Below are 25,242 nucleotides of genomic sequence, written 5' to 3' on the forward strand. Positions count from 1 at the left end.
AAGGTAAATCACTAGGGGATATATAGAAATTATATGATAAAATAGACTTTAGAAAAAACCTTTTTGAAACCATTTACAAAAGGAAACTGAATAGACCTCTGACACTCTTGTCTCCAATAAGCTGTGAAAATAGTACTGGTTCCATCACTTAAGAGGCATTCAGCTGTTCTCTGGTAAATATTTACTCATACCTTTAAAAGGAAAAATTAGCTAAAGGTAGGCTCGAGTTAGAAACTTAATCTAACTAGTTAAATCCTTTGAAATTTGGCAAAATTCCTCTTCACACATAAACCACTTAATACAAAACCATGTTTTGTATTAAGACCCCCAAATCTGAAGGGCAATTAGCCAACTCCTAGATCATCTCATGTTATATCCTGTCCAAAAATAAACAAACTGGGCTCTGGCATATTCTAAAAATATCTTCCTGTCTAAAAAAACATTTAACAGAGTTTGTCTAAGAAGCAGACTCCCAATTTTATTCTAAATATAATTATATTTGCATATATGTAATTTACAAACAACTTTCCTGGAACACAAGCATTACACAAAGTGAAGTATACCTGTATATTTATTTAAAAGCAAACAAACAGGATATATATATATATATATATATATATACATACATACATATGTTTAGTTTTTTTCTTGAGACAGAGTCTCACTCTGTCACCCAGCCTGGAGTGCAATGGTGCAATCTCGGCTCACTGCATCCTCTGCCTCCCAGGTTCAAGTGATTCTCTCAGCCTCCCAAATAGCTGGGACTACAGGTGTATGCCAGCATGCCCAGCTATGTTTTGTATGTTCAGTAGAGATGGCGTTTCACCATGTTGGTCAGGCTGGTCTCAAACTCCTGCCTCAGGTGATCCACCTATCCTGGCCTCCCAAAGTGTTGGGATTGCAGGCGTGAGCCACCGTGCCTGGCTTCAGAATGTATTTTTTTGCCAGTGTGTCATGTTTCATAGCTCGGTGACTGATGAAGGGACTTATTCAGTGCTTTTCCTTTATGCACTGATATTTATTTTATTAATTTTAAATTAATAAAATATTAATTTAAATATTTTTAAAATTATTAAAAATATTAATTTTCTGACTCTTTAGGAATACATATTCCTAAAGAGAGTGTTGTGTTGTGTTGTATTTAAAAGAAAAGGGCTGTGGATTTTGACAGACCTTCAAACCTCAGGCCTCCTACTCATTAGCTGTGTGGTCTTGGGCAAATTATTCACCCTGTCTGAGTTTAAGCCTTTTAATTTGCAAAACCTCTGAGGATTATTTTGAAGATTCAATTAACTAATATATGAAAGTGCAATGCAACAGGAGGTTGCTAATATTAATTTGAGTTATAGTCCGGCAACTCAACAAGTGTTTGTTAATATTCTATATATATCTACACTGAGAAAATCAGACTGTAATAGCACCAAATATTTGGGCAAACTTCTATTGGTTTGGTTTGCTAAGTGCATCACATGTATTATTCATTTTGTCTCTCTATATTGATTTTTAGCTCCTGTTAGAAATTGCTTATTTTTCAACTTTATAATAGTGTTTGTTTTAAAAATATGTAATATGTTTATGTGATTCAAAATTCAAAAAGCACCAAAGTGTACAGTAGAAACATATTTTTCCTCCTTGTCTCCTGCCATAGTTCATCTACCCAGAAGCAAACCTGCAAAATCTATCTTATGCATATAAAAACATTTAGGCGCAAATATAATTCTTTTCCCTTTTTTTGCACAAGAATTAGCATACTATTTAGGGTTGCCAAATGAAATACAGGACATCAGTTAAATGAGCAGTATTTGGGACATATTTACACTAAAAAATTAATTGGTGTTTCATCTGAAATTCAAATTAAACTGGGTGTCCTGAATTTTATTGGCTAAACCTGGCATCAGTAAATTATTATCCACCCTATTCTGCATCTTGTTTGTCTGCTTTTTTTTCTTTTTTTTCTGCATTGGAATCATCTAAAACTCTGTTAAAACTCCCAGGCCCAAGCTACACACTCCAAACCAATTTCATCAGAATCTCCAAGGATCATTCTTGGGCAACAGTATTTTTTTCTGTGATTGTGTTAAATTGAGGAATAATTTAACAAAAAAAGCACCCATTTTAAGTGTACCATTCAATGAGTTCAATGACAAATCTATACACCTCTTTTTACTTAATAATTATTTTGGTGATCACCCAAAAATCAGTTCTTAAATTGTAAACCCTTTAGAGCAAGCTTTGTATTTTATGCTACTTTTCTTCACAGGACTTGAGCATTCTGTGTTTCAGATAAATACAGGTTGACTAACAACAGAGTTCTTTATTTCAGTCATTATTTAGGTTTAATGCACAAAATGAGAAATGTTATTAATGAGTTTTTGCAGTTGCAACACTTGTTACAAAGAAATGCAAAGGTTGCGAAGAAATAGTTGCAGACACTACTTAGTACCAAGAGATCATTTCCACCTACTCAAGATCTCCCCACTGGCTAAGTGGTACGCCAGGTGCTTCACATACACTGGATGACCCTACAAATCCCTACTTATATAGGAGGGATCTGAGGCCCAGGTTAAAGAAATTGTTCAAGCCACATAGCTAATATTGAGAGGAGCTAGGATTCAAACCACATGTTTAACCCCAAATTCTTAGTAAGGATACTTCTCAATATGGCATAATTTTGAGATTCCACCTTTCTTCACACTATTCAGAAACTCCTATTTTTAATTTGGAAAATGGTTGAGAACAGCTGTTTCTGTTTCTCAGCAGATGCTTATCTCAGCCAAAATGCCTTCTTGAGAGAACCAATCAAGAGAAACCAAACAGGTCAAATTTCTTTAGGCTCAAGTTTCTTTGATCTGTATTAAAGCCTTTACAAGGTAGTTCTGGATTTTGTGTTTGTTGGTTCACATGCCTTGGATCACCTGAGCATGAAGGCTTATTGAAAGAAATAGTTGAAAGGATATAATTATAAGTTGTGATTTCAGGGGAAAGGAAGTAGTGTCTTTTGCTAATGAACCTTATTGTTCCCCTCAAGTTGTGTGTATATCATATCCATGTCTTGATGTGCCACTAAAAATGAAAGAATTGACTTAAAACACTAAGGGTGAATATCTTGTTTCTGCATATGCCAACTATCTTGTTTCTCTTCCTTTATGGATGTGTGTTTTGAAATGCAGGATGTAGACACAGACCACAAAACCATTCTAGTTTCTGCAGCGGAGAACGCAATATGAGTATCTGTCTCAAGGTCATTTCCTGATAATATTATCTTCCAGTAATTTGAGGCATAGGTTCAGGGAGGAGAGTAGGACGGAATTCTATTCCTGGCTTAGCTGTTTTCCTCTGTCTCCATCTTTAAAGCAATTTTGAAAGTCTCTTGCATATGGTTGATGTTCAGTAAAGGTTGGATGAACTGTCTTGACGTTCTTTTTGAAAACTGAGGATATGCTGTGTTCCGAGTAACTTGGCAATGTGTCAGTGAGGGCACAATTATGAGTCAGAGACCATAGAACTGCAATGGGATCTTAAATTCTTTTAATTTTGGCAATCTCAATTCATCTAGAAGCACCTTTAGAAGAGCAATTGATCTTGAAATCTTAACATTCATCAATAAGTAGATGAGAAAGAAGTTTATAAAGTCATTGAATTTCAGAGAGAACTTGATGCCTGGCAGTCTATGGCAAGTTGTGGACTTGCTTTATGTATATATATATATATCCATGAAACCACAATTTGATTGATTCCAGTAGTTTTGACTTGGGTCTTGGCCCAGAATTCAAAAGATAATGCTGTGACAGCAACAAGGAAATTGTAAGTATAGTTTTCTCTAAGTACTGTGAAAGGAGAAATGGAAACTAGGTTAACTACTTAGTGTTTTGCTAATCCTATTAATCGGTATGAAGTTTCTTGATTCTGTCTTTTTTGGAAGTATCACAATCATGCATGCTTTACATACAGTGGGGTTTTTTAATGGGTATTACTGTTAGTAATTCCCTTCATCCACTTTTGGGTGGACTACCTGTTATAAGCTTGGAATGATGTGTAGCTTTTGTTAGTTTAGAAAATTCCTTTTTTTCCAGCCTAGACCTTTCATTATCTCACATCTAATGTTTTTTCACCTCACATTATCCTCTTTCTTCCACCCTCTATCATTTGTATTTTTTTGTGTAGCTTTTTGCCTGTGGCTTCTTTTACATCTAGAATCCAGTAATGCCAATATGTCTTTATAACTTCCAGATGAACAATTTAATATTCCTCCTTTACTCCCCACCATTTACTGCATCTTGTTTCAACACATAACTTTAGTTTTAGGGATTAGTGAAAGTACAGATTATTGTATATTCAATTAAATGCCACCGGTAAGGGGCAGAGAGGTTTCTTCCAGGTTAATTATTTACATTCGTCTTTAGAATCTCAAGAGTTCAACAAACGTGGGCTGAGACCAGTTAAAATACAGATATTTAGAAATTGTTACAATATCTTTAGAGTCAGCCAGGAACAAAATTGTCAGAAAGGGAAGACAGGGGCTTGACTTCAGATCCTCCCACCCATCCACATACACACTTTTTCGTTCTTAAGTGTCTCTCCGTGTTCCTATTGACTTTATTCTAGTAAGCTTCTAGTTCTCCACTTTCCCATTTAGGATTTTCATTGGTAGAAATATGTCCCATTCCAACTCTTTCTTTGTGTCTTTTCCGTTAACCATTCAACAAATATGTTGTGCCTCTTTTTACCAGCTACTCTGCAAATCAATGAAAGGCTTAGTTTAGGTGGTTGTGGGAGTAATGAGATTAAACATAACCTTTATTTTAAAAACATGTAGAGATTAAAAAAATAATTAAGTGTGAAATTTCCTAACCCACCATTTAGATCTCTATAATACAGGTTCTGAGAACTCAACATAGCTGAAATTTGTCCGCAAGCAGACCTACTTTCAGAGTCCAGTCCCTTACAGAACGATTAATTCATCAGCTGCTGAAGAATCAAGTCCAAATAAAATTAATGGTACCACACAAGCTTCATCCTTTAGTTTACATATAATGTGAGTTATTTATATCCTTTAATGATAATGTTCTCTTGAATTTTCCTGAAACACTAGCCATATTTATCCATTTAAAACAGTGGTCCCCAAACTTTTGACACCAGGGACGGGTTTCATGACTATTTTTTCACAGACTGGGATTGGGGGATGGTTTCGGGATGATTCAAATGCATTACATTTGTTGTACACCTTATTTTTATTATTATTACCTTGTAATATATAATGAAATAATTGTACAACTCACTATAATGTAGAATCAGTGGGAGCCCTGAGCTTGTTTTCCCGCAACTGGACTGTCCCATCTGGGGGTGATGGGAGACAGTGACAGATCATCAGGCATTAGATTCTCATAAGAAGCGTGCAACCCAGATCCCTTGCATGTGCAGTTCACAATAGAATTCATGCTCCTGTGAGAATCTAATGCTGCTGCTGATCTGACAGGAGGTGGAGCTCAGACGGTAATTTGAGCCATGGGGAGCAGATGTAAATACAGATGAAGCTTTGCTTCCTCACTGGCTGCTCACCTCCTGCTGTGCAGCCCAGTTCCTAACAGGCCACTGACCAATGGGACCATGCCAAGGGTCCATGGCATGAGGGTTGGGGACCCCTGATTTAACATGATTCTTGCCTTCATTTAAAGTACAAATTATTTGTATTATATAATATATATCATCAAAGGGTGGTGTCCAAGGTGTTCTGTTGCTCCATTAGCAGCCTTGGATACAAGATAGAAGTAAGCATTTGAGCCAATGATTCTCTTGAGTGGAGTTCCCTCTTCAGTAGTCTTACCCTTGAGCACCTAAATAAGACCCGTTCCAGTACCTCATTAAAATCCCCAACACATATTTTTGCTGAGCATGGTTCTGAAAACCACAGAAGCAAAAGTAGGTGTTCAGTAATTTACTGTCTTAAATGCAGCTATTGATAGGGTTCAGTATACTATTGAAAAGTATATACTCATTCATCAGGGTCCCTTAATTCTATAGCTTTATATTTGTGAGTTTTAGACTGGGTTCTTCTTTAGATTCAACATACAAGGTACCTTTGAGTAAAGATGCTTTTTCTTATATAAAGTGCAGTATTCAGTTTTCTAATATGTACACCCTGAAGTTCTCCAAGACCAGTCATCTTTATTATACAACCACACTGAATTAGATCCAACAGGGCATATATTAGTGTTGTCAGCAACATTTGTTGAACACTTATTTTGAGCTAGACCCTAAAGTAAACACAAGACGTGCAAAGCTTCTGCCTTCCTAGAGCTTGCACCCTAGTGGGAAAAGCAAGTGATAATGAACAAGAAGACAGACGTCAGCTGGGGAGAAAGGCTATAAAAAAGAATTAAAATATGGGGAACCCACAGAAAATGAATGGGAGCCTTCTTTAGATTCAGGGTTCTGCAAGATCTCTCTGTAGAAGAAAAATTTCAGCTGAGAACTGAATGACAATTAGAAGTCAGCTTATGAAAGTCGGGGAGGAGGAAAAATTCAGGTAGAGAGAACTGCAGTGCAAAGGCCCTGGGGCAGGGTGAAACTTGGTTCCTTCAAGGAATATAACAAAGAGGGCAAAGAGTATTAGTAGAGAACTAGCCAGAGCCAGATCATGCAACATTTCGTAAGCCAGACAAGTGGCTTTAGGTTCTATTTTCAGTTTGATAGGAAGCCACTGGAAAATATTAAGCAGAACAGTAATGTGGTCTGACTTAGATTTTTAAAAGATAATTCTGCTTGTTATGTGGAGAATGGATGGGGCAAAACTGGGAGCATGGAGACAAGTTAGGAGGCTCTTATTAGTTGCAGTGACCATGCAGTTTATCCAAAGCAGGGCCTTTCAGAGAGTGAAAGTGGGTGCCACTAACAGAACAGGGAATGTCAACTGGGCCTGTGCTGAGCAGACCAGGGCATGTGGCCATTTCAGCTGTTACAGTGGTCTTGCTGGAGAGAGAGCTGTGGAGCCTTTTAGGATGTTTCATGTAATCTTCACAATAAACTCTGTGCCCAATGCATATTAGCACCTGATAAATGTTTGCTGGGTGAGTTAATGAGTAAATCAGTTAATCTGGGGGAAGATTAGTATCTTTGTTTCGTAAAAGAAACTATGCTACAAGCATATTGTGAACTCTAATTCCAATGATAAAACCCACACTCTTTCTTTAATTTCTTACCTAAGATGTCATAATTGTTGCTTTTCAAATGTTTTTAAACTACTGTACATGCATTTCCATTTTCTTCCTTCATTTTCTTCCCTCTCTTGGGTTTAGGGATCTACATGCAAAGGTTTCATAAATGTGTTTGCTGTACTCATTTTTATCAAAGTCAGGAACCAGAGAGACCATTAACGATATACAGTTCCCAGGAAACTTTTTGATCTTTCTTTTTGAAGCATCCTGTTCCACATTTAATGCCCAACCTCATAAGGTCTCCACCTGGGTACTCTGTCAGAATTCATTTAACAAGTCTAATGGTATGTGCTGTCTTACCTACCCACTCACACCTTTTACAAAAAACTCTCTCCTCTGTTCTCTTCTGCCCATCCGGGAAATAATTCCACCTTACTTCCAGGTAAAGAGACCTACGAATCATTTCCATCATATTCACCACACCCTTTAGAGGTACAGTAGCTTTTGCATGTTGGATAACTTTCATCAAATTATCAATAAAAAAGAGCATCTCACTCTCCTACTTTGAATTATGAATATTAAAAAATTTCAAATTTGTATGATTTATACAATTTGTATTGTAAATTCTATATATTTCTGGCTTACTCCATAAACATTCAAAATAGGCATATCTTCTGACATGATCAGGTTAAATAGAAGCCTGGCATATAAATAGAAGATGTGCATGCACGAGCTTAATGATGGGTGCATGCTTGATGTGACTGTGTATATTGTGTATGCTCACGTGTTCATGTGTGTGCATTCATGTGTGCACATGTGGGCAGGCATGCAGACGCAATGTGCACATGCTCTCATTATGACCCTGCTCATCCTCTATAATCCATAAACCTGATATAGCCCAGTAAATGCAGTTATGCTTCAGAAAAAAATGTTGCAGCTTGCATCCTTATACTCATTCCTCCTATTTTATCCTATTTAGATTGCTTAAGAAAATATAAACCTATATACCATGAGATAAAGGATATTCAACAAGAGCATCTTCTCTTTAGTTAGATTTATAAAACTAGTTTCCATTTTAGATCCCAGGGAAAATCAGCTCTTTCAGATGATGTTGGAAGATTTTAAAGTTTACAACATCATAGTCCCAACCTTTGCTTGATTAGGAGGAAGCTAATGGACCTTATATTAGCCTGTATTCGTCATCGTGTAAATATGAACTAGTTGATTAACTACCGAGTAATATTATCAGAGAAGGACAGTGCTAACATTCTCCTAAAATATAAACTCTCTCATAGTCACATACAATGATATATTCAATTTAATGTATTCATAGAGCAAATGTGAAGCATTTCTATTTTGTTATCCTATGCGTTAGAATTTATATGCTTGAAATTTAATATGTAAGCATTTAGTTTTCATAATTATGCCTTTTGTTGTAAGAATAACACCTACCAAAATGGGCTCAGCTTCCAGCAGGAAAACTGTTTTTTTTTTTTTTTTTTTTTTTTTGAGACGGAGTCTCGCTCTGTCTCCCAGGCTGGAGTGCAGTGGTGCGATCTCGGCTCACTGCAAGCTCCACCTCCCGTGTTCACGCCATTCTCCTGCTCAGCCTCCCGAGTAGCTGGGACTACAGGTGCCTGCCAGTACGCCCGGCTAATTTTTTCTTTTTTTATATATTTTTAGTAGAGACGGGTTTCACCGTGTTAGCCAGGATGGTCTCGATCTCCTGACCTCGTGATCCCTCCTAAAGTGGTGGGATTACAGGCGTGAGCCACTGTGCCCAGCCAGGAAAACTCTTGAGTTTAGCTATTAAAAATCCCCTTCTCTCTGCTCCACTGCTTGCAGTTTAGGTTATTGGAAACTTATAAAATAAAATTTGGATTTGGATTTTCCTTTTTAAAAATTAGCAGAAACGAGTTAGGAAGAGCATTCTTTGACACTGGAGGAGTAGAATGATTCTCAAGAATTTGAGACTGGACCGTCAATAAACTGGAAGTGTCAGATACGGCAAATCTATTCTTTGTGAATGACAGCTTTTTGTGATCTTTTTTCCACTAAAATGTTAACATTTACCTTTTAGTGTTTGACTTAATGTAGTAAGTTATATGTGTCTTTTTGTTCAAAAATATGAGAAACTAACACGTCACTTTTTAATGGAAATTGCCATATTTTTTCCTGGCCAGGAGTAGGCTTCAGGGCAGTGACTTTGCAGAGATGAGATGTAACATACCCCAGTCTGTGTCCTTTCCGAGTGCCACAAACTCCTTGTAGATCAAATCTGGAAAATACAGGCAAAGCTATTTCATAACAACTGTCTTATAACAAATCTTAATGTGTAAGAACTACAATTCTTGATGTTTATTTTACTTTATTGCTGAATTTGTGATTCTTTTTCAGGAAGAACAGTCACTGTGAATATGAGTAGTCAACAGGATATGTTTCCATATGAAGGTCCCTGTCCCAACTTAATGAAAAGTTGAGCAAAAGTATAATGCAAAATTCTAAGTAGCAACCTTTTTATAAGTGTAATTTCATCAAACCATCCACTTTCAAATATTTCATAACTTTTATCAGCCAAAAATTTCAATTAACCAAAAAAAAAAAAAAATCACCTATTCGAAAGCTAAAGAATATTGTAGAATTGGGAATGGCACTCTCTGTTGTCAGAACCTTAGCAGGCTCTGAATGAGGCACCAAGAATCTGCCTTCTGCTCTGTTCTGATTAAACTTTAAAATGCACCAAACAGCAGGAAAGGTGGTCATAGCTGTAAATGTCTTTGTGCTAATGATGACTTTTCTCACTAGTAACAGCTGGGGAGTGAAACTCGACAAAGACAAAATTATAAATGTTTTATATCGGAAAACACTAGGTGAGTTTGAAACGTGGTCAATCGATTAGGTTACTGCCAAGAAGTAAACAATAGACTCATTAAAGCTGTAATTAGCCATTGTTGACATATTGTATTTTTAATCAGAGCTCCAGTAGGGGATGAAGTGGCTGAAATCATCTAGTGAAATAATCTAGGGCTTTGTGAAGTAGAAGTAAAACCAGATTTTAAAAACTCAGCCATGCCTTTCCCTTGGGATTTCTATACCACCTTTGTTCTGATGAAGTTGGTGACTTCAATTAGGCTAGTAAGTAGCCTATAATAATTGATTAATTGTTTTGTGTTTTTGTTACATTGGGTACTTGTCAAAAGGGTTTTGTGGCTCCCTATTATTTGGCATATCAAGAGTAGAGAGGAATTCATGGTGAATTCCTCTTCAAGGCAGGGAGCCAGGTATGTTACATACTCGCGACTGCAGATAAACATCCTAAGAATCAAGGGTTAAGTACTTTTTCCTGTAGTTGGTAAATGGCTAAAATTGAGCTTCTGAACTCAGGGCTGTGGATTCCAATGCCTGCCTCTTTCCATGATACCATTGACAACAATGATCCTTTGGATCCCACCTCATCTGCCACGGCCCCCTAAAGCTTCTGCTTCCATCTAAGCCGAATCTCCTGTAACCAATGACACTCGTGCACATTCTACCTCCAGAACCACCACTCTCCTCATTCCAGCTCTCCCTCTCTCCTTTCCCTATCAAACTCCAGCTTTCATCTCATCTCCTCCATGAAGCCCTCCTGATTATTTCTGCCCACCCCACCAAACATCCCTTTATGAGTTTTTCCTCTCTCCTCTGAACTCCTCTGTCAGATTTACAGCCCTAGATTTTCTGAGGTAGAACTCATTCCAAATAAGTTAGCGGATGAAGAAACATTTTCCCCAATAACATAAGAGTTAAGAATCATATGTAATTGCCTTCCTTATTTTCTGTTCAGCTTCAAATCATGCACATCACAGAAGGAAAGTTCCAAGTCAGAGATTTTTATTTCTATAGGCATCTATGTAGGGTAGAAAGAGCCTGGTGAAACAAACAAGCACCTTCTTTGGACTAATTCCATGCTCTGTAGATATAATCTCCATTTTCCAGTATTTATTAAATTCATAAAATGCTTCTTGTAAAATATCCGCTAAAACAATGAATAGCCAACATTCTTTTTCTAAAGAGATCTTGGCTTTTCCTTGGAATCACATGGCTCTGTGAGTTATCTAGAATTATATTTAAGTGAGAAATTTTTAATAAAATGACACATCTTATTTTCATAGATATTTGCCTATGAACCCATAGATGCTATCTAATTCAACTTCCCCACATCTCAGGGAGGCAGAACTTGTGGGCAGATATTTTGATTAGTTTGCCCTTTCTCAGATAATAAAGCAAAGCAGTGGAACTTTGGCACGACTTCCTCAAAGCAGCAGCCAGCTAGAAAATGAACCCAATTTGCAAGTAATAGGCCAATGTCAGAAAACTTAGTAAATCATTTTATTAAACAAGCCATATCTTTAATTTAAAACCAAATCTTTTTCTTTATGGAGACATTGTTTAGGAGTAGAAACTTCAATTTGCATATATACATTTAATATCCTTTCATATATCACATAACTCTACAGAGAAAAGGGATGGATTATCTGCTTCACTGAGGGTGGCATATCATTTTCATGATAAGGGCAATGAATCGTGCTGTGACTGGTGCTGTTTAGCCCATTGAATCAGGCGCCTATGGTGGGAAAGGAATCATCTTCCTAACTAAGCACTGTCTTAGGAAAAGATATGTCTTTATGAGTGTGGTCTACTCTTCTAGTAGCTGTAGAGTGAGACTTAGGAATCATTCATTGGCAGTGAGGAGTTTCTGGGCTAAGAGGTAGGGCAGTGCTTCTTAACCCTGGCTACATGTTGGAATCATTAGGGAGAGTGTTAAAAGGTACACATGCTTTTGTCATATCAGAATTCAGATTTACAATACTTAAATTGGTGTATGGCCTGGGCACTGGGGAGTTTTTAAAGCAGCCAAGTTTGAGAACCACTGAGTTAGGAAAACCCATTTTCCTGTCTTGGTGACTGATCTCAAGGAAGGCATTGGCCTCTTTGTGTGTATTTCCTAGTCTGCTCAATGGACATTGGTTCTGCTTCATCGCATCACAAGTGTTTTCAGTCTTAGAAGAGACATATGTGAAAGATTCTTTCAATATACAGCTTTACAGAATTTCAAGCAATTTACATTTATTTTTCTTGTTCCCTAGCTGGAGTCCTGGCAGAAAGGATCTAGGAAAGCATTTAAAGAAAAAAAAAAAAGCATGACTGCCTTAGAAAAATTGAGTCATGCACCAACTTAAGAAGACAAGCAGAAAAATTTTTGAAATCAAATGATAAATCTTTCCAAAAATTCTTGAAGTGAGTTTATTTAATCCAAACATTTATATAACATCTCAGCGCATCTGTTTTGAGTGAGTAAAATTATAATATTTTGGGGGCTACTTCTAATTTTCAGGGAAATTTAGAATGTGTGAGGGAACAAAATCGAATGTAGTGGGGAAAGCATATTAAGGACATTTATAACAGTTTTCAGCAGAAGGAGAAATCCGCAAGCTATGTGCCAAGCTTTGCTGACAGCCATCAGTAAGGAGAAATCACTCTTAACTGCCACAGCATCAAATTATTAATAGATAAATGGGCTCCTTTCTTGACCAATGGGTTTTCTACACTGGAATTGGGTGCTGAAGGGGTTTACAGAGTCTCGAGATTCTGGAATAGTGGATGAGGATGGAGAAAAATGGTTTTCAGACCTGGCTGCTCTTCTGCTGATTCCTACTGGAATACTTAAGCTTCCGCTTGTCCAAGACCTACCTGCCTGAAGACACTCTGTTTCAGCTTATCCAGAGAGTCCCTCGAGTTGGTATTTGTAAACTTCACAGGGAATACTGATGATCCCCAGTGTGGGACCCACTGGATTATATACACACTCCAGTTCTGATCCAGGATTGCTTGGCGGTGCCTGGATCACCAACCTGCGCTGCTGTTTCTCAATGATTTTCAATTACTCAGTCCTGATCTGTGAGCACATGTGCACAGAAGATTGGCTGTTGGAACTTTGTCAAATAACAAACATTTCTATAAATCATAAATTACTTTATTTGTGAGAAATTATTTCTGAGAATTATTTTTTAGTCAAGATTGTTTTGGCTATTCTGTGTCCCTTTCATTTCCATAGAGTTTTTAAGATCAGCTAGTGATTTTTGCAAAAAGGCAACCAGATTTTGAGGAGGAATAAGTTGAATGTGTAGTGTTGTGGCATTGTTTTAAAGATTAAATGTGTTAATCATTAGTATTTAGTGCTTAGACTAAATGATAATAGACTCAGATGATAATAGAATAATGATAAAACAGTACCTGATTAAGTATATATGTGATTAAATACATAGATTATTAAAGGTACATATGATTGAATATATACAACTATATCAGGCCCTATTGTATCATTTTCTATTATCATTTGAATTGTCTCAAATATTCTTTTCTAATTTTTGATAGAAATGTATTTTATGGCCTATAGATAAAATGTATTCTATAGGCAATTTCCATTTGGTTTCAGGAGGGTATTATTGTTTGAATATGCATGATACTTACTAGTAAGTTACTGCAATGCAAACAAGCATTGTGGAGGTAGGCCTGAATAATTATTGTAAGAGAAAATATAATATTCTTATCTTGTTGGGGTTTTTAATAACAGCTTTATTGAAATATAATTCATGTATCATAAAATCTACCCTTTTAAAGAGTACAGTTCAGTGTTTTTTTAGAATATGCACAAAGTTGTGCCACCATTACTATTTAAATCCAGAACACGTTCACCCTTCCCCACAGAAACCCGTATACATTGGCAGTCATTCCCCAATCCTCCTCTCACCAGCCGCTGGCAAAAGCGCCTATACACTATGTCTATATGGATTTATCTATTCTGGGTATTTCATATAAGTAGAATCATAAAAAATTTGGCCTTTTGCATCTGATTTTGTTACTTTAACATAATGTTTTCAAGGTTTATCCATATTGTTGTATGTATAAGCACTTCATTCCTTTCTGTGAAGAATAACATTGAATTGTACATACATGCCACATTTTGTTTACACATTCAGTGGATGGACATTTGGTTTGTTTATAATTTGGGGCTATTATGAATAATGCTGCTATGAGCATTCATGTACAAATCTTTGAGTGAATATATGTTTTCATTTCTTTTGTGTCTAGACCCAGAAGTGGAATTATTGGATCATGCATTAAATCTATGTTTAAAGTTTTGGAGAATTGCCAAACTGTTTTCCAAAGTGGCTGCTCCATTTACATTCCCACCAGCAATATAGGAGGGTTGCAACTTTCCACATCCTCACCAACACTTGTTACTGTCCATCTCTTTATACCCATCCTTCTGGGTGTAAAGTGGTATCTCATTGCAGTTTTGACCCATACTTTTCTAATAACTAATGCTGTTTTGTCTTCTTTTCACGTACCATTTATATGTAGTCTTTGAGAAGATATCTCTTCAAAGCCTTTGCTCATTTTTAAAGTTTGGTTATTTGTCTTTTTATCAAGCTATAAGAGTTCTTTATGTAGTCTGGATATAAGTTCCTTATCAGATATATGATTTGCAGGTATTTTCACCCAGCCTAGGGGTTGTATTTTCCTTTTTTTCATGGTGTCTATTGAAGCACAAAAGTTTTTATTTTTTTTTCTTTTTTTGAGTCTAAGAAATCATTACCTAATCCAGAGTTATGAAGACTTACTCTTATATTTTCTTCTAAGAGTTTCATAGTTTTAGCTCTTATATTTAGGTCTATGATCCATTTAATTTAATTTTTCTATAAAAGCTTCTTTGTTGAAAGGACTATTCTTTTTCCCATTTATTTGTCCTGCCACCCTTGTCACAATTGACCATAAATGTAAGAGTTTATTTCTAGATTCCCAGTTGTCTTCCATTGATCTATTTGTCTATCCTTATGCCAGTGCTACACTCTCTTGATTACTGTAACTTTGCAGTAAGTTTTGAAATTGAAAAGTATAAGTCCTCCAACTTTATTATTTTTCAGTCAAGATCATTTTGGCTATTCTGTGTCCCTTTCATTTTCATATGAATTTTAGGATCAGCTTGTGATTTTTGTGAAAAGGCAAGTAGATTTTGAGAGGGATTAAATTAAATGTGTAGTGTTGTGGCATTGTTTTAAAGACTAAATGTGTTAATTATTAGTGTTTAGTGCTTAGACTAAAAGATAATAGACTCAGATGATAATAGAATAATGATAGAACAGTACCTGATTAAATATGTGTTATATATGATTAAATATATATATGATTAAATACATGCAAATACATCAGGCACTGTTTTATCATTATTCTACTATCATTTGAGTTGCCTCAAATATTCCTAATTTTTTATATTTTTGTTAATTTTACTGCAATGGCCTTTTGTGTGTGTGTGTGTGTGTGTGTGTGTGTGTGTGTGTCCTTTTTCTCTTCATAGTTACAATTTGCTTTGTTTGATAAAAACTTACTAGATTTATGTGGAAACTATGTTAGTTGGTACCTAAGAATTGCCAAGGTATACCTGTCTGGGGAAATAACCATGAAATTCTATACCATAATGTTGTAAAGAACTATCTATGAAGTTTCCAGTTACCCTTTATGGATTTCATGAGGCCTTTAACCTAAGAGTAATCTCTTAAGGTGCACTATTCCAACCATAAAAGAGTTATTCTTCTTTTGGCTTAATAAGCTGTAAATTGGACAAGGAGCCAAATTTTCCCCTTCCTTGTCATCAATGTGAGCTGAAGGTTGGTATGTGGATATGAAGCAGAAGTTCTTTGATCCATTTGCTATTTGATTTTAAGACAAGTTAGCATCCACACGTCTTCTTTTGAAGAATTTGGAGGGAAATGCCAAAACTACACCTTAGAGTTAAATAAGCTAATGTTAAATGTTCATAACTTTGTTTCAGTGGATACAGAAATACTGAAAATGAATATGCAATAAACACTTCAACTATAGGCCAGTTCACTGAAAGACCCTCTCAGCTGTTTATCAGGATATATAAGCAGGATGCCTTCATATGGTAATTATATGGCTGTCTTTCAAAACTGGAATTTATAGGTTGGAAGTAAGTTATGCAGGATATCAGATTTGAAATAGCAGTTCTGTCCATGGCCCTATCCTAGCTGTAACAGTAGCTATGCTTTAATTTTCTAAACTTTAAAAAATAAAGACAGATACCTCATGCTGTATTATCAACATTCTGGAAAGTTTTATCAGTGAGAGTTTTATCAAAAACAAAAAAAAAACAGAATCACTATGAGTGTGTTTTGAGAGCCCCCAGCTAAATTAGGGTTCCAATCCCAGACCTGCTAGCAACACTGTCCTAAAGGGAAATGAAGAGCAGCTGGACTTGGACTTGAATGTTTACAGTGTGACTCTCAGGGGATCCTGGTGGGATCCTTCTCCTCCCCGCCTCCCCGCCTCCCCGCCCCTGCCCCCCGCGCCCTGCGCTCCAATATGGGGTCTCGCTCTGTAGCCCAGGCTGGAGTGCAATGGCGCTATATCTTCTCACCGCAACCTCCGCTTCCTGGTTTCAAGCGACTCTCCTGCCTCACCCTCCCTAGTAGCTGGGATTACAGGCATGTGCCACCACACCCGGCTAATTTTTCTGTATTTCCAGTAGAGACGGGGTTTCACCATGTTGCCCAGGCTGGTCTCAAACTCCTGGCCTCAGGTGATCCGCCCGCTTCGGCCTCCCAAAGTACTGGGATTACTGGCGTGACCCACTGCGCCCGGCAGGGATCCTTCTTTTACCTGGCAGACAGCCAGATGCCTAGTTGTCCTACCTGTGACGGGGAGGGGAAGAGAGGGCAGGGGTCCCTCAGACAGGTAATGTTTATGCTGACAGACACTCTTGTGGCTCTTGTCTGACCTGTGGCCAGTTTATGCCTGACTGACCATCATTCTGGCACTGGGAGCCAAACCATTTTTTCTCCTCGGTGTCCTGGAGAAAACCCGATGTGGGGCAGCTCCTCGTATTTTAAATGGAAGACACCAATTCAAGGCACCACCATAACGGGAAACAAGTTCAAAGGTTTTTATGTACGGATCCTGGGCAGGGAGGGTGCGATGAGTCAGTGAAACAGTCCTTCATCCCCAAGTCACACAAGGCAGGAATGAAGAGTCAGAGAACAAAAAGAGCAAGTAGCACGTGGCAACTAGTGTATATAAGGAGTAGGTTGTGGGTCACACCAAAGTATTGGGCAAATGCCTGAACAGTCTCTTTAAAGGAAAGAGCAGGAAGTGGGGAGCCCACTTTCTTTGGTTTAAGTTTAAAAACTTATTTTAACCAAAATAACAACCAAAAATGAGTTTTTGGTTAAAATAAGTGTTTTATTAAAATAAAAGTGGGAGAGGTGCTAAGTGGGAGAGGTACCTCTAAATTCTTATCTCTGACCACCAGATTGAGCCAATTAGGTGTGGTGTTCTACTACTAACGTGCAGTCAACAACTTTGGCTGTGCTATTCCCATTGCAGAGTGGTACTGAACAATAGCATTATTAATCAGATTAGACCTTATGCAATCGTAGGAGCTGGCTGGGCATATCTTTGTAAGCCTGATGCTTTCTTTTCTTTTCTTTTCTTTTTTTTTTTTTTTTTTTTCTGAGATGGAGTCTCGCTCTGTTGCCCAGAATGGAGTGCAGTGACGCTATCTCGGCTCACTGCAACTTCCGCCTCTTGGGTTCAAGCGATTCTTCTGCCTCAGCCTCCTGAGTAGCTGGGATTACAGGCGCGTGCCACCAGACCCAGCTAATTTTTGTATTCTTAGTAGAGACAGGGTTTCACCATGTTGGTCAGGCTGGTCTCAAACTCCTGACCTCGTGATTCGCCTGCCTCAGCCTCCCAAAATGCTGGGATTACAGGCGTGAGCCACCATGCCCGGCCACCTGGTGCTTTTATGTCTTATGAACCTGAAGTTAGCAGAACCAGGGGCAGCAAAGAAAGATGGACATGAAGTGGGGGAAGCAAGATTCAGTAGGAATCCATGAGAGAAAATGAGAACTTGCCTGCCTCTCTCACCACCTCAAACCTCAGTAGTGCAAATGACTTACCAAAGAAACTGGTGGCTTCCCGTGGAACTGCACACACACCTAGTGATATAGTTTGGAGATTTGTCTCCATCCAAATCTCATGTTGAAATGTGTTTTCCAATGCTGGAGGTGAGGTCTGGTGGGAGGTGTTTGGGTCACAGGGTTGGTTCCCTCATGGCTTGGTGCTGTCTTTGTGACAGTGAGTGTGTTCATACAAGATTAGTTCTTATTTTATTAAAATAAAAGTGGGAGAGATGCTAAGTGGGGGAGATGCCTCTAAATTCTTATTCTGGCCACCAGCTTGAACTACTAAAGTGTGATGTTCTACTTCTAAGGTCCAGTCAGGAACCTTGGCTGTGTCATTTAAAAGTGTGTGGCACCTCCCCCCTCACTTTAGCTATCTCGCTTGCTCCTGCTTTTGCCATATGATGTACCTGCTCCCCTTTTGCCTTCCACTATGATTGTAATCTTCCTGAGGCCTCCCCAGAAGCCAAACAAATGCCAGCACCATGCTTCCTGTAAAGCCTGCAGAACCGTGAGTGAATTAAACCTTTTTTCTTTATAAAGTACCCAGTCTCAGATATTTCTTTATAGCAATGCAAGAAAGGCCTAGTACACCTAGCCCTCAGCATAACCTTGGGCACACTTTGGCATTGCACACATTTATCATTTATGTTTCCAAAAAGGATGTGACATTCTAAACTCTCAGTTTCGTTGTTGTTGTTGTTGTTGTTTGTTTGTTTGTTTTTTGAGACGGAGTTTCTGTCATATTGCCCAGGCTGGAGTACAATGGCGTGATCTCAACTCACTGCAACCTCCTCTGCCTCCCGGGTTCAAGTGATTCTCCTGCCTCAGCCTCCCAAGTAGCTGAGATTACAGACGTGTGCCACCACGCCTGGCAAATTTTTGCATTTTTAGTAGAGACGGGGTTTCACCATGTTGGCGAGGCTGGTCACCAACTAAACTCTCTGTTTTTATTAAGAGGCATTTTAGGCTATCAGCATTTAAAAATGTTTCTCAATTACTTATAGCCCATAAACACAAGCCCTTACAAAGGCTTATCTGAATCTGAAACAGCAAATTTGTGTAGTACTGTTTTGTTCCTCCTGATCATTTTCTCATCTGAAGACAAAAGCCTAAATTGTTTTAACTAACCCTGAGATTTGGGTCTTGTCTGCAAAACAGTGTTTTAAAGGATATATTAATTAGGGATTCACTTTCTATCCATGGATATATGTGAGCTTTGGGGATAATACTAGCTCTTTGCTTTCATGTTGTTTTCAGATGGAATCCATTAGGAGTATCTGTCAATATTGTTCTGCATCTGGGATCAAAATAGCTTTGTGCTGGTTTGGGTCCTGCTGAGTTGTAATCATTTGTAGCAGGGAAATGCATGACAAGCATTGATCTGAATGTATCAATATTAGTAAACAGTGATTTAAAAACACATTGAATTCAGGCAAAATGTCTTAGATCATGGAAAAGTCCTTTCCCAACACTGATTATAAAACATTATTGACAAGTGTCAGAGTTCCCATCAAGAATGTTCCTTGAGCAAATTTGGGTTTTAGCAAATTCATGTCCAGATTTTCAAGGTTCACTAGAAATTGACCCCACAGCACTTGTCTTTTAGTGGGTGTATAGAAACTGGAGTAAAACTGGAGAAGTGCAAGAACTCATGGACAGCAGAATTGTGGGTGTGATTAAATTTAGAAGATAGAGCAGTGCTGAAGAGGACATTCTAAGAGAAAAGTGAATGGTTGGTAGAAAATAGGATTAATAACCTAGGTTATATTATTAATAAAAATAAACTCTTGAAGAAATAACACTGGTGCTTTGTTTTCCAAAGCCTTCCACAAATAGGTTCAAATATATAGAATTAGAAATGTCAAGTAGGAAATAAGTATCAAAACAGAGGGAATTTTAAAAATCATATGAAAATAGTTTGTACAACTCCATATAAGTACATTTGAATTCCTAGATGAAATGGTTAATATTCTATAACATTTCAGCTTTACAAAACTGACCTAAGAAAAAACAGGATTAAATGGACCAATTACCGAAGAAAACAGAAGATAATTCAGAAAACAGTCCCAGACAAAATCACCAGGACAACGTGGTTTTACATAGAATTTTTTTCTAACATTTAAAAATCAGATAATCCCAAGAATACATGAACTATTTCAGAGCACAGAAATGATGGAAACATTTTACGTTCTATGAAGTTAATATAATGCAAAGGTCAAAACCACAGATTGTTTCAAAAACAAGACAAATTTTACTTATGAATACCAATTTTTAAAATTAGATAAAATATAAGAAACAGAACCCAACAGCACATTAAAAATGATACATCATGAACAAGTAAAATTTATTTCAGAAATGTAAAGATGATTCTACATAAGGAAATCCATTAAAATCCAGCTAAGGAGAAAAATCAGAAGATCATCTCAATAGAGGAAGAAAGTGCAATTGACAAATTTAATATCTACTCATGTTAAAAGCAGCCAGCATGTTGCTTAATGGGAAAACACTAAAAAAATTTTCAATTAAAATCAGAAACAAAGAAGTCTAATCCTCACTGCTACTCTTTAATTTTATAATAGAGGTATTGGCCAGTGAAAGTGGATAAGAAAACACAAATAGAAGCATAAGAATTTGAGAGGAAGACCTAAAGCTCTATTAAGGAAGGATATGATTGTACATCTAGAAAATTCAAAATAATAAATTGAAAAACCATTAAACATATGAAAACATACTTTGATTTGTTGTAAGTGAAATATAGGTTAAAACATCATTAACACATGATTTCAGACCTATCTAATTCTTAAAAAGCCAACTTAACAACCTTCTGTATAGATATACACCATGCCAACTGTGGTAAGGTTGAGAGATCTTGTTCTACAGATATGTATTGAATTATTTATGAAAAAACATTATGATGTCTTACATTTGCGTCAAAATAATCTGGTAGGTGGAGAGTTATAGGGCAGATGAAAGAAGAATGGCCATATATTGATAATTTAGAAGCTGAGTGATCGATTATACTATTCTCTCAAATTTAGTATATGTTTGAAATTTTCCACAATAAAAAGTGAAAGAATATTCATATAGTTTCAAAAGATGCAACTAAACTAAGCCAAAGGCAAAAATGTTATTTAGAGAAAAAGTAATTTTTTGGTTGATGTTAATTTATATTTGCAATTTGATCTGAAACCTTTCATATGGGCACTCATCAATTAATTCTAAATAGTCTTTAAGAAGAGTTGAAATAAAAATTAACTGCCTTCCTAATAGAACAAAATGCTAAAAAAAATACACTAAAGAAGCTTCCCCTTCCCTCAGAAACGTGCCTTCTGTTCTCTTGGTAGTCTGCAGGTCCTTAGAGTACTTTAGCCACCCATAGTTTAATTCTAACCTTCAGGACATAAATGTGGTTACGGGAACGAATATTTCATAGTCAATTAGTGGGAACCACCCTGAGGCTATCATTCAGACAGTGAAGTGCTTGCTGTGAGAGTTCCAGATCTGAAAATGTACCTACTAAAGCCTGACATAACCCAATCCAACAAAGATAAATGAGGAAATATTAAACATCTGCTTATCTTGTGCTTGACAGCTTTATTTTACTGAAACTCTGTACACGGAATGCAAAGAAATATGGCTGATACCTTATCTGCCTAATATTTTGAGCTTTCCGAAGTGTCTTAAGAATACTAAATTGCTGAGGCGGGAGGATCACGAGGTCAGGAGATCGAGACCATCCTGACTAACACGGTGAAACCCCGTCTCTACTAAAAATACCAAAAATTGGCCGGGCGTGGTGGCGGGCACCTTTAGTCCCAGCTACTTGGGAGACTGAGGCAGGAGAATGGCATGAACCTGGGAGGCGGAGCCTGCAGTGAGCCTTGATTGGGCCACTGCACTCCAGCCTGGGCGACAGAGCAAGACTCCATCTCAAAAAAAAAAAAAAAAAAAAGAAATATTAAGTTGGTTTCTGTTAATTTAATACGTTAAAGTCACAGGTTCATAGCTTGTCAAGGCATTCTTGAGACTTATCCAGTAGACTGGCAAAGAGCACCAAAGTTTGTGTGGGTAATTCCAAATGTGGAGTAGCCATCAACACGTAACTGTAGCATTTGCCAAGCTCCCCACTGGCGAGCAAGGAGTATATCCTCAGAGCCATGCAAAATGCCATGCAAGTGAGAGGTGGTGATGAGAGTATGTTAGATGGCAAATGGATGCTTATACGGAGGAGCCCAGTTCTCTGAGCCCTGACCTATTCAACCGACAGCTTTATGTGTTCTCTGCTAGCACAAATTTTACTTTCAAGTGCAGTATCTCTGTGCTTTGCCTTTTCTCATGTTGTTTGAAACTATTCCTCTGAAGATATATTCTATTTTGAGAAGGTTTTGTACTCTTGTGCAACTTAAGATAGAAAAATGAGCTCAGGGGCCAGGCACAGTGGCTCATGCCTGTAATCCCAGCACTTTGGGAGGCCGAGGCGGGCGGATCACCTGAGGTTGGGAGTTCGAGACCAGCCTGAACAAAATGGAGAAACCCCATCTCTACCAAAAATACAAAATTAGCCAGGCATGGTGGTGCATGCCTGTAATCCCAGCTACTCAGGAGGCTGAGACAGGAGAATGGCTTTAACTCGGGAGGTGGAGGTTGCGGTGAGCTGAGATGGCGCCATTGCACTCCAGCCTGGGCAAGAAGAGTGAAACTCTGCCTTAAAAAAAAAAAAAAAGAAAAAAGAAAAATGAACTCAGGAAGCTAGACCTGGAAAGCAATACAGTGAGTCTTTAATCTAAATACTTACCTCATTGATAAGAAGGGAGAATCCAAGTCCTTGCACTCGGATGGACACCACTTCCACAAATGGCTCATGAGATTAATTTCATTAATCATGACATTTGCATGGCTGCAGATAGCTTAAATAAATTTATACACTCAACAAATATGTATTGAGCTCCTTCTATATGGCAGCCACTGAGCTGAGCTCTGTGGATCCAGCAGTAGACAAAAGAGATCAAGTTTCTGTGCTAATGGAACTTACATTAAACAAAAATAGCAGGAGCTGAGAGATAGAGTGGGGAAGAGTGAATCCATGAGCAACTTCATTTGAGATATTCTAGCTATGGAAATTCTGTTTCTGCATATATCCAGGATAAAATTCCCTTTCCATATAAAATAAAAATATTCCTACTTTGTTTCTAACACAATTTGTATTTCAAATTATAATAATAATCTTGGATTTTCCTTCTCTGTATATGACTTCTCATCCAAAAACTGAGGGGCTAGACCACCTGATTACTTGAATTCCTTTTTACCTTTACGACTCTTCATTAAACAGAGCCTCATGGGTGTGATACATTTCAGTTCTTTTCCCTACTCTTTTTAGCCCCTTGCCTTCCCATGAAGGGCTTGTCTGTATCTAAAAGTCCTCCTGGTTCTTGTGGTACAGCTTGTGATACCACGATAAAGACTAAGTGAGATGCATTTCCTGAAACACTGCAGTCTTCTGGCCTTTTCTTCCCTTTTATATCCACAGAACCAAGAACCAGCAAGACCATCAGTCATTGTACAGGAATAAACAATACTGTTAAACTTGTCAGCCTTTTGATCCTTCCCACATCATTTTTTTTAGCCCAGTTCTAGGAAAATTTGCCAAGGCTTTTTTTTTATGGTGTTGTATTTGCCATGCCAACAACCAACAATAGAATATTGAGGCTATATGATTTTAGGACTCAAAAAAATCACATAATAATAAAAAGAGGAGCTGAGCCAAATCCTGTGTGTGTGTGTGTGTGTGTGTGTGTGTGTGTGTGTGTGTGTGAGTGTGTTGACAGAGACAGACATAGACAGAGTGAGAGAGAGAGGAGAGTAGTGATATAAAAAATAAGAAATAAAATTCATTTTTGAAAGGAGCTTAGAAGTGAACTGTCTCATACCTAGCTTAATATGTCAAATAGCCTATTGGAAAAATGAAGATTTTTCCACAGTGCCAAGCTTTGCATTCATTTCAGGTGGAATTTGTGTTAAATGTCAGGAAGTGTCCAGCACCCTTCACTTATAGAAAAGAGGCAATGTGGGCCACAGTGGAATTGATTTGTGTTAGCCTGGATTGTTCACTCTGGATTAGACTTTGACTGGGAGGTGGCACCAGTATTGCCCCAGGCAGGTTTATGTACAAAAGACAGAGAACAGTCTGGCTGCCAATCAGGAAAACATGATAGGTCGTGTAGTTAGCAAGTGGTAATAGTCTCATTCTACAAGTGGGAAGTAATCTCCCATGCTATGGTCCTGTATCTCCTCTCCTCATGTCTAATTCCCCTCCACGCTATAAGGTTAAATGCAAATTTTCCTTCCTCTGCAGTCTTCTTGGATCACTGCAGTCCCTGAAGACACTGTTTTGTTTGAATTGAAAACACAACCAGGATTTGACTCATTTATCAATTAATCATTCTACCTTGCAAAATTACGTTGTATTTTCTCAGATCCTTATTTCACTTTTAAGTAATTCAGACCTTGTCAGAAGCTAGACTAGAACTTCCATTTTTAAAATTTTCATCTTTGGGCCTGACACTACGTATTGAAGACATTTAACTAGATTTGCTCATGACTTAGTGTTTCTTGAGACTGTCACGCATTCATACACACACATTTGCTAAAAAAAAAAAAAAAAAGTTAGCTTTAAGCAAAATTTTAAAGTATGTAGATGTGTCTTATTGACTCCATTCTTTTCACTTTTTCTGGGAGCCACGAAATCCAATGTCTTCAATTTCACACCCCCACTGCAAAAACTGCTAAAAAAATTAAGGCTTTTGCCTAGGGAAGAATTTGGCTTTAGTTACTAATATCGTATAATAAATTTAAGCACTTTCTTTTTTCTGAAAATTAACAGTTTCATCCAATTCTACTAGTGAAATGACAAACATTATCACCCTCCAAAATAGTTTTACATGAGCAAGTTTAGGGGAAGAGGGAAAAAGGTAGAGTGATGGTGATAACAGACCTTAAGTGTGGGGGGAAATCATACTATGGCAGAAAACTTCTCTAGCTATCTATTTGGGTTGACTAAGAGCAGC

At 37.5% G+C, this 25,242-nt stretch overlaps 1 protein-coding gene across 9 annotated transcripts in view, besides 1 other annotated feature; it reads left to right on the forward strand.

Moving 5' to 3' along the window:
- RAB27B (RAB27B, member RAS oncogene family) overlaps positions 1–25,242 on the forward strand; it is a 177,660-nt gene that overhangs the window by 131,883 nt on the left and 20,535 nt on the right. For 2 of the 9 annotated variants that reach the window (XM_017025913.2, XM_017025914.2), the window contains one exon: positions 12,281–12,484. The exons of 6 other annotated variants lie outside the window; for them this stretch is intronic. The gene's annotated coding sequence lies outside the window, so the exon portion shown is untranslated. Of the gene's footprint in view, positions 1–1,556; positions 3,805–4,878; positions 5,036–12,280; positions 12,485–25,242 lie in introns of those variants that run through there. One more of the 9 variants, XM_024451232.2, reaches the window with a different exon arrangement.
- Positions 3,139–3,433: a silencer, noted in NCBI's record as "tiled region #14713; K562 Repressive DNase unmatched - State 9:DNaseU". NCBI's record gives its function as "represses a minimal TATA promoter and a strong SV40 promoter by Sharpr-MPRA in K562 cells {active_cell/tissue: K562}" and the evidence as "EXISTENCE:reporter gene assay evidence [ECO:0000049][PMID:27701403]".

Source organism: Homo sapiens, chromosome 18 (assembly GCF_000001405.40).
Source record: "Homo sapiens chromosome 18, GRCh38.p14 Primary Assembly".
Classification (NCBI taxonomy): Eukaryota; Metazoa; Chordata; class Mammalia; order Primates; family Hominidae; genus Homo; species Homo sapiens.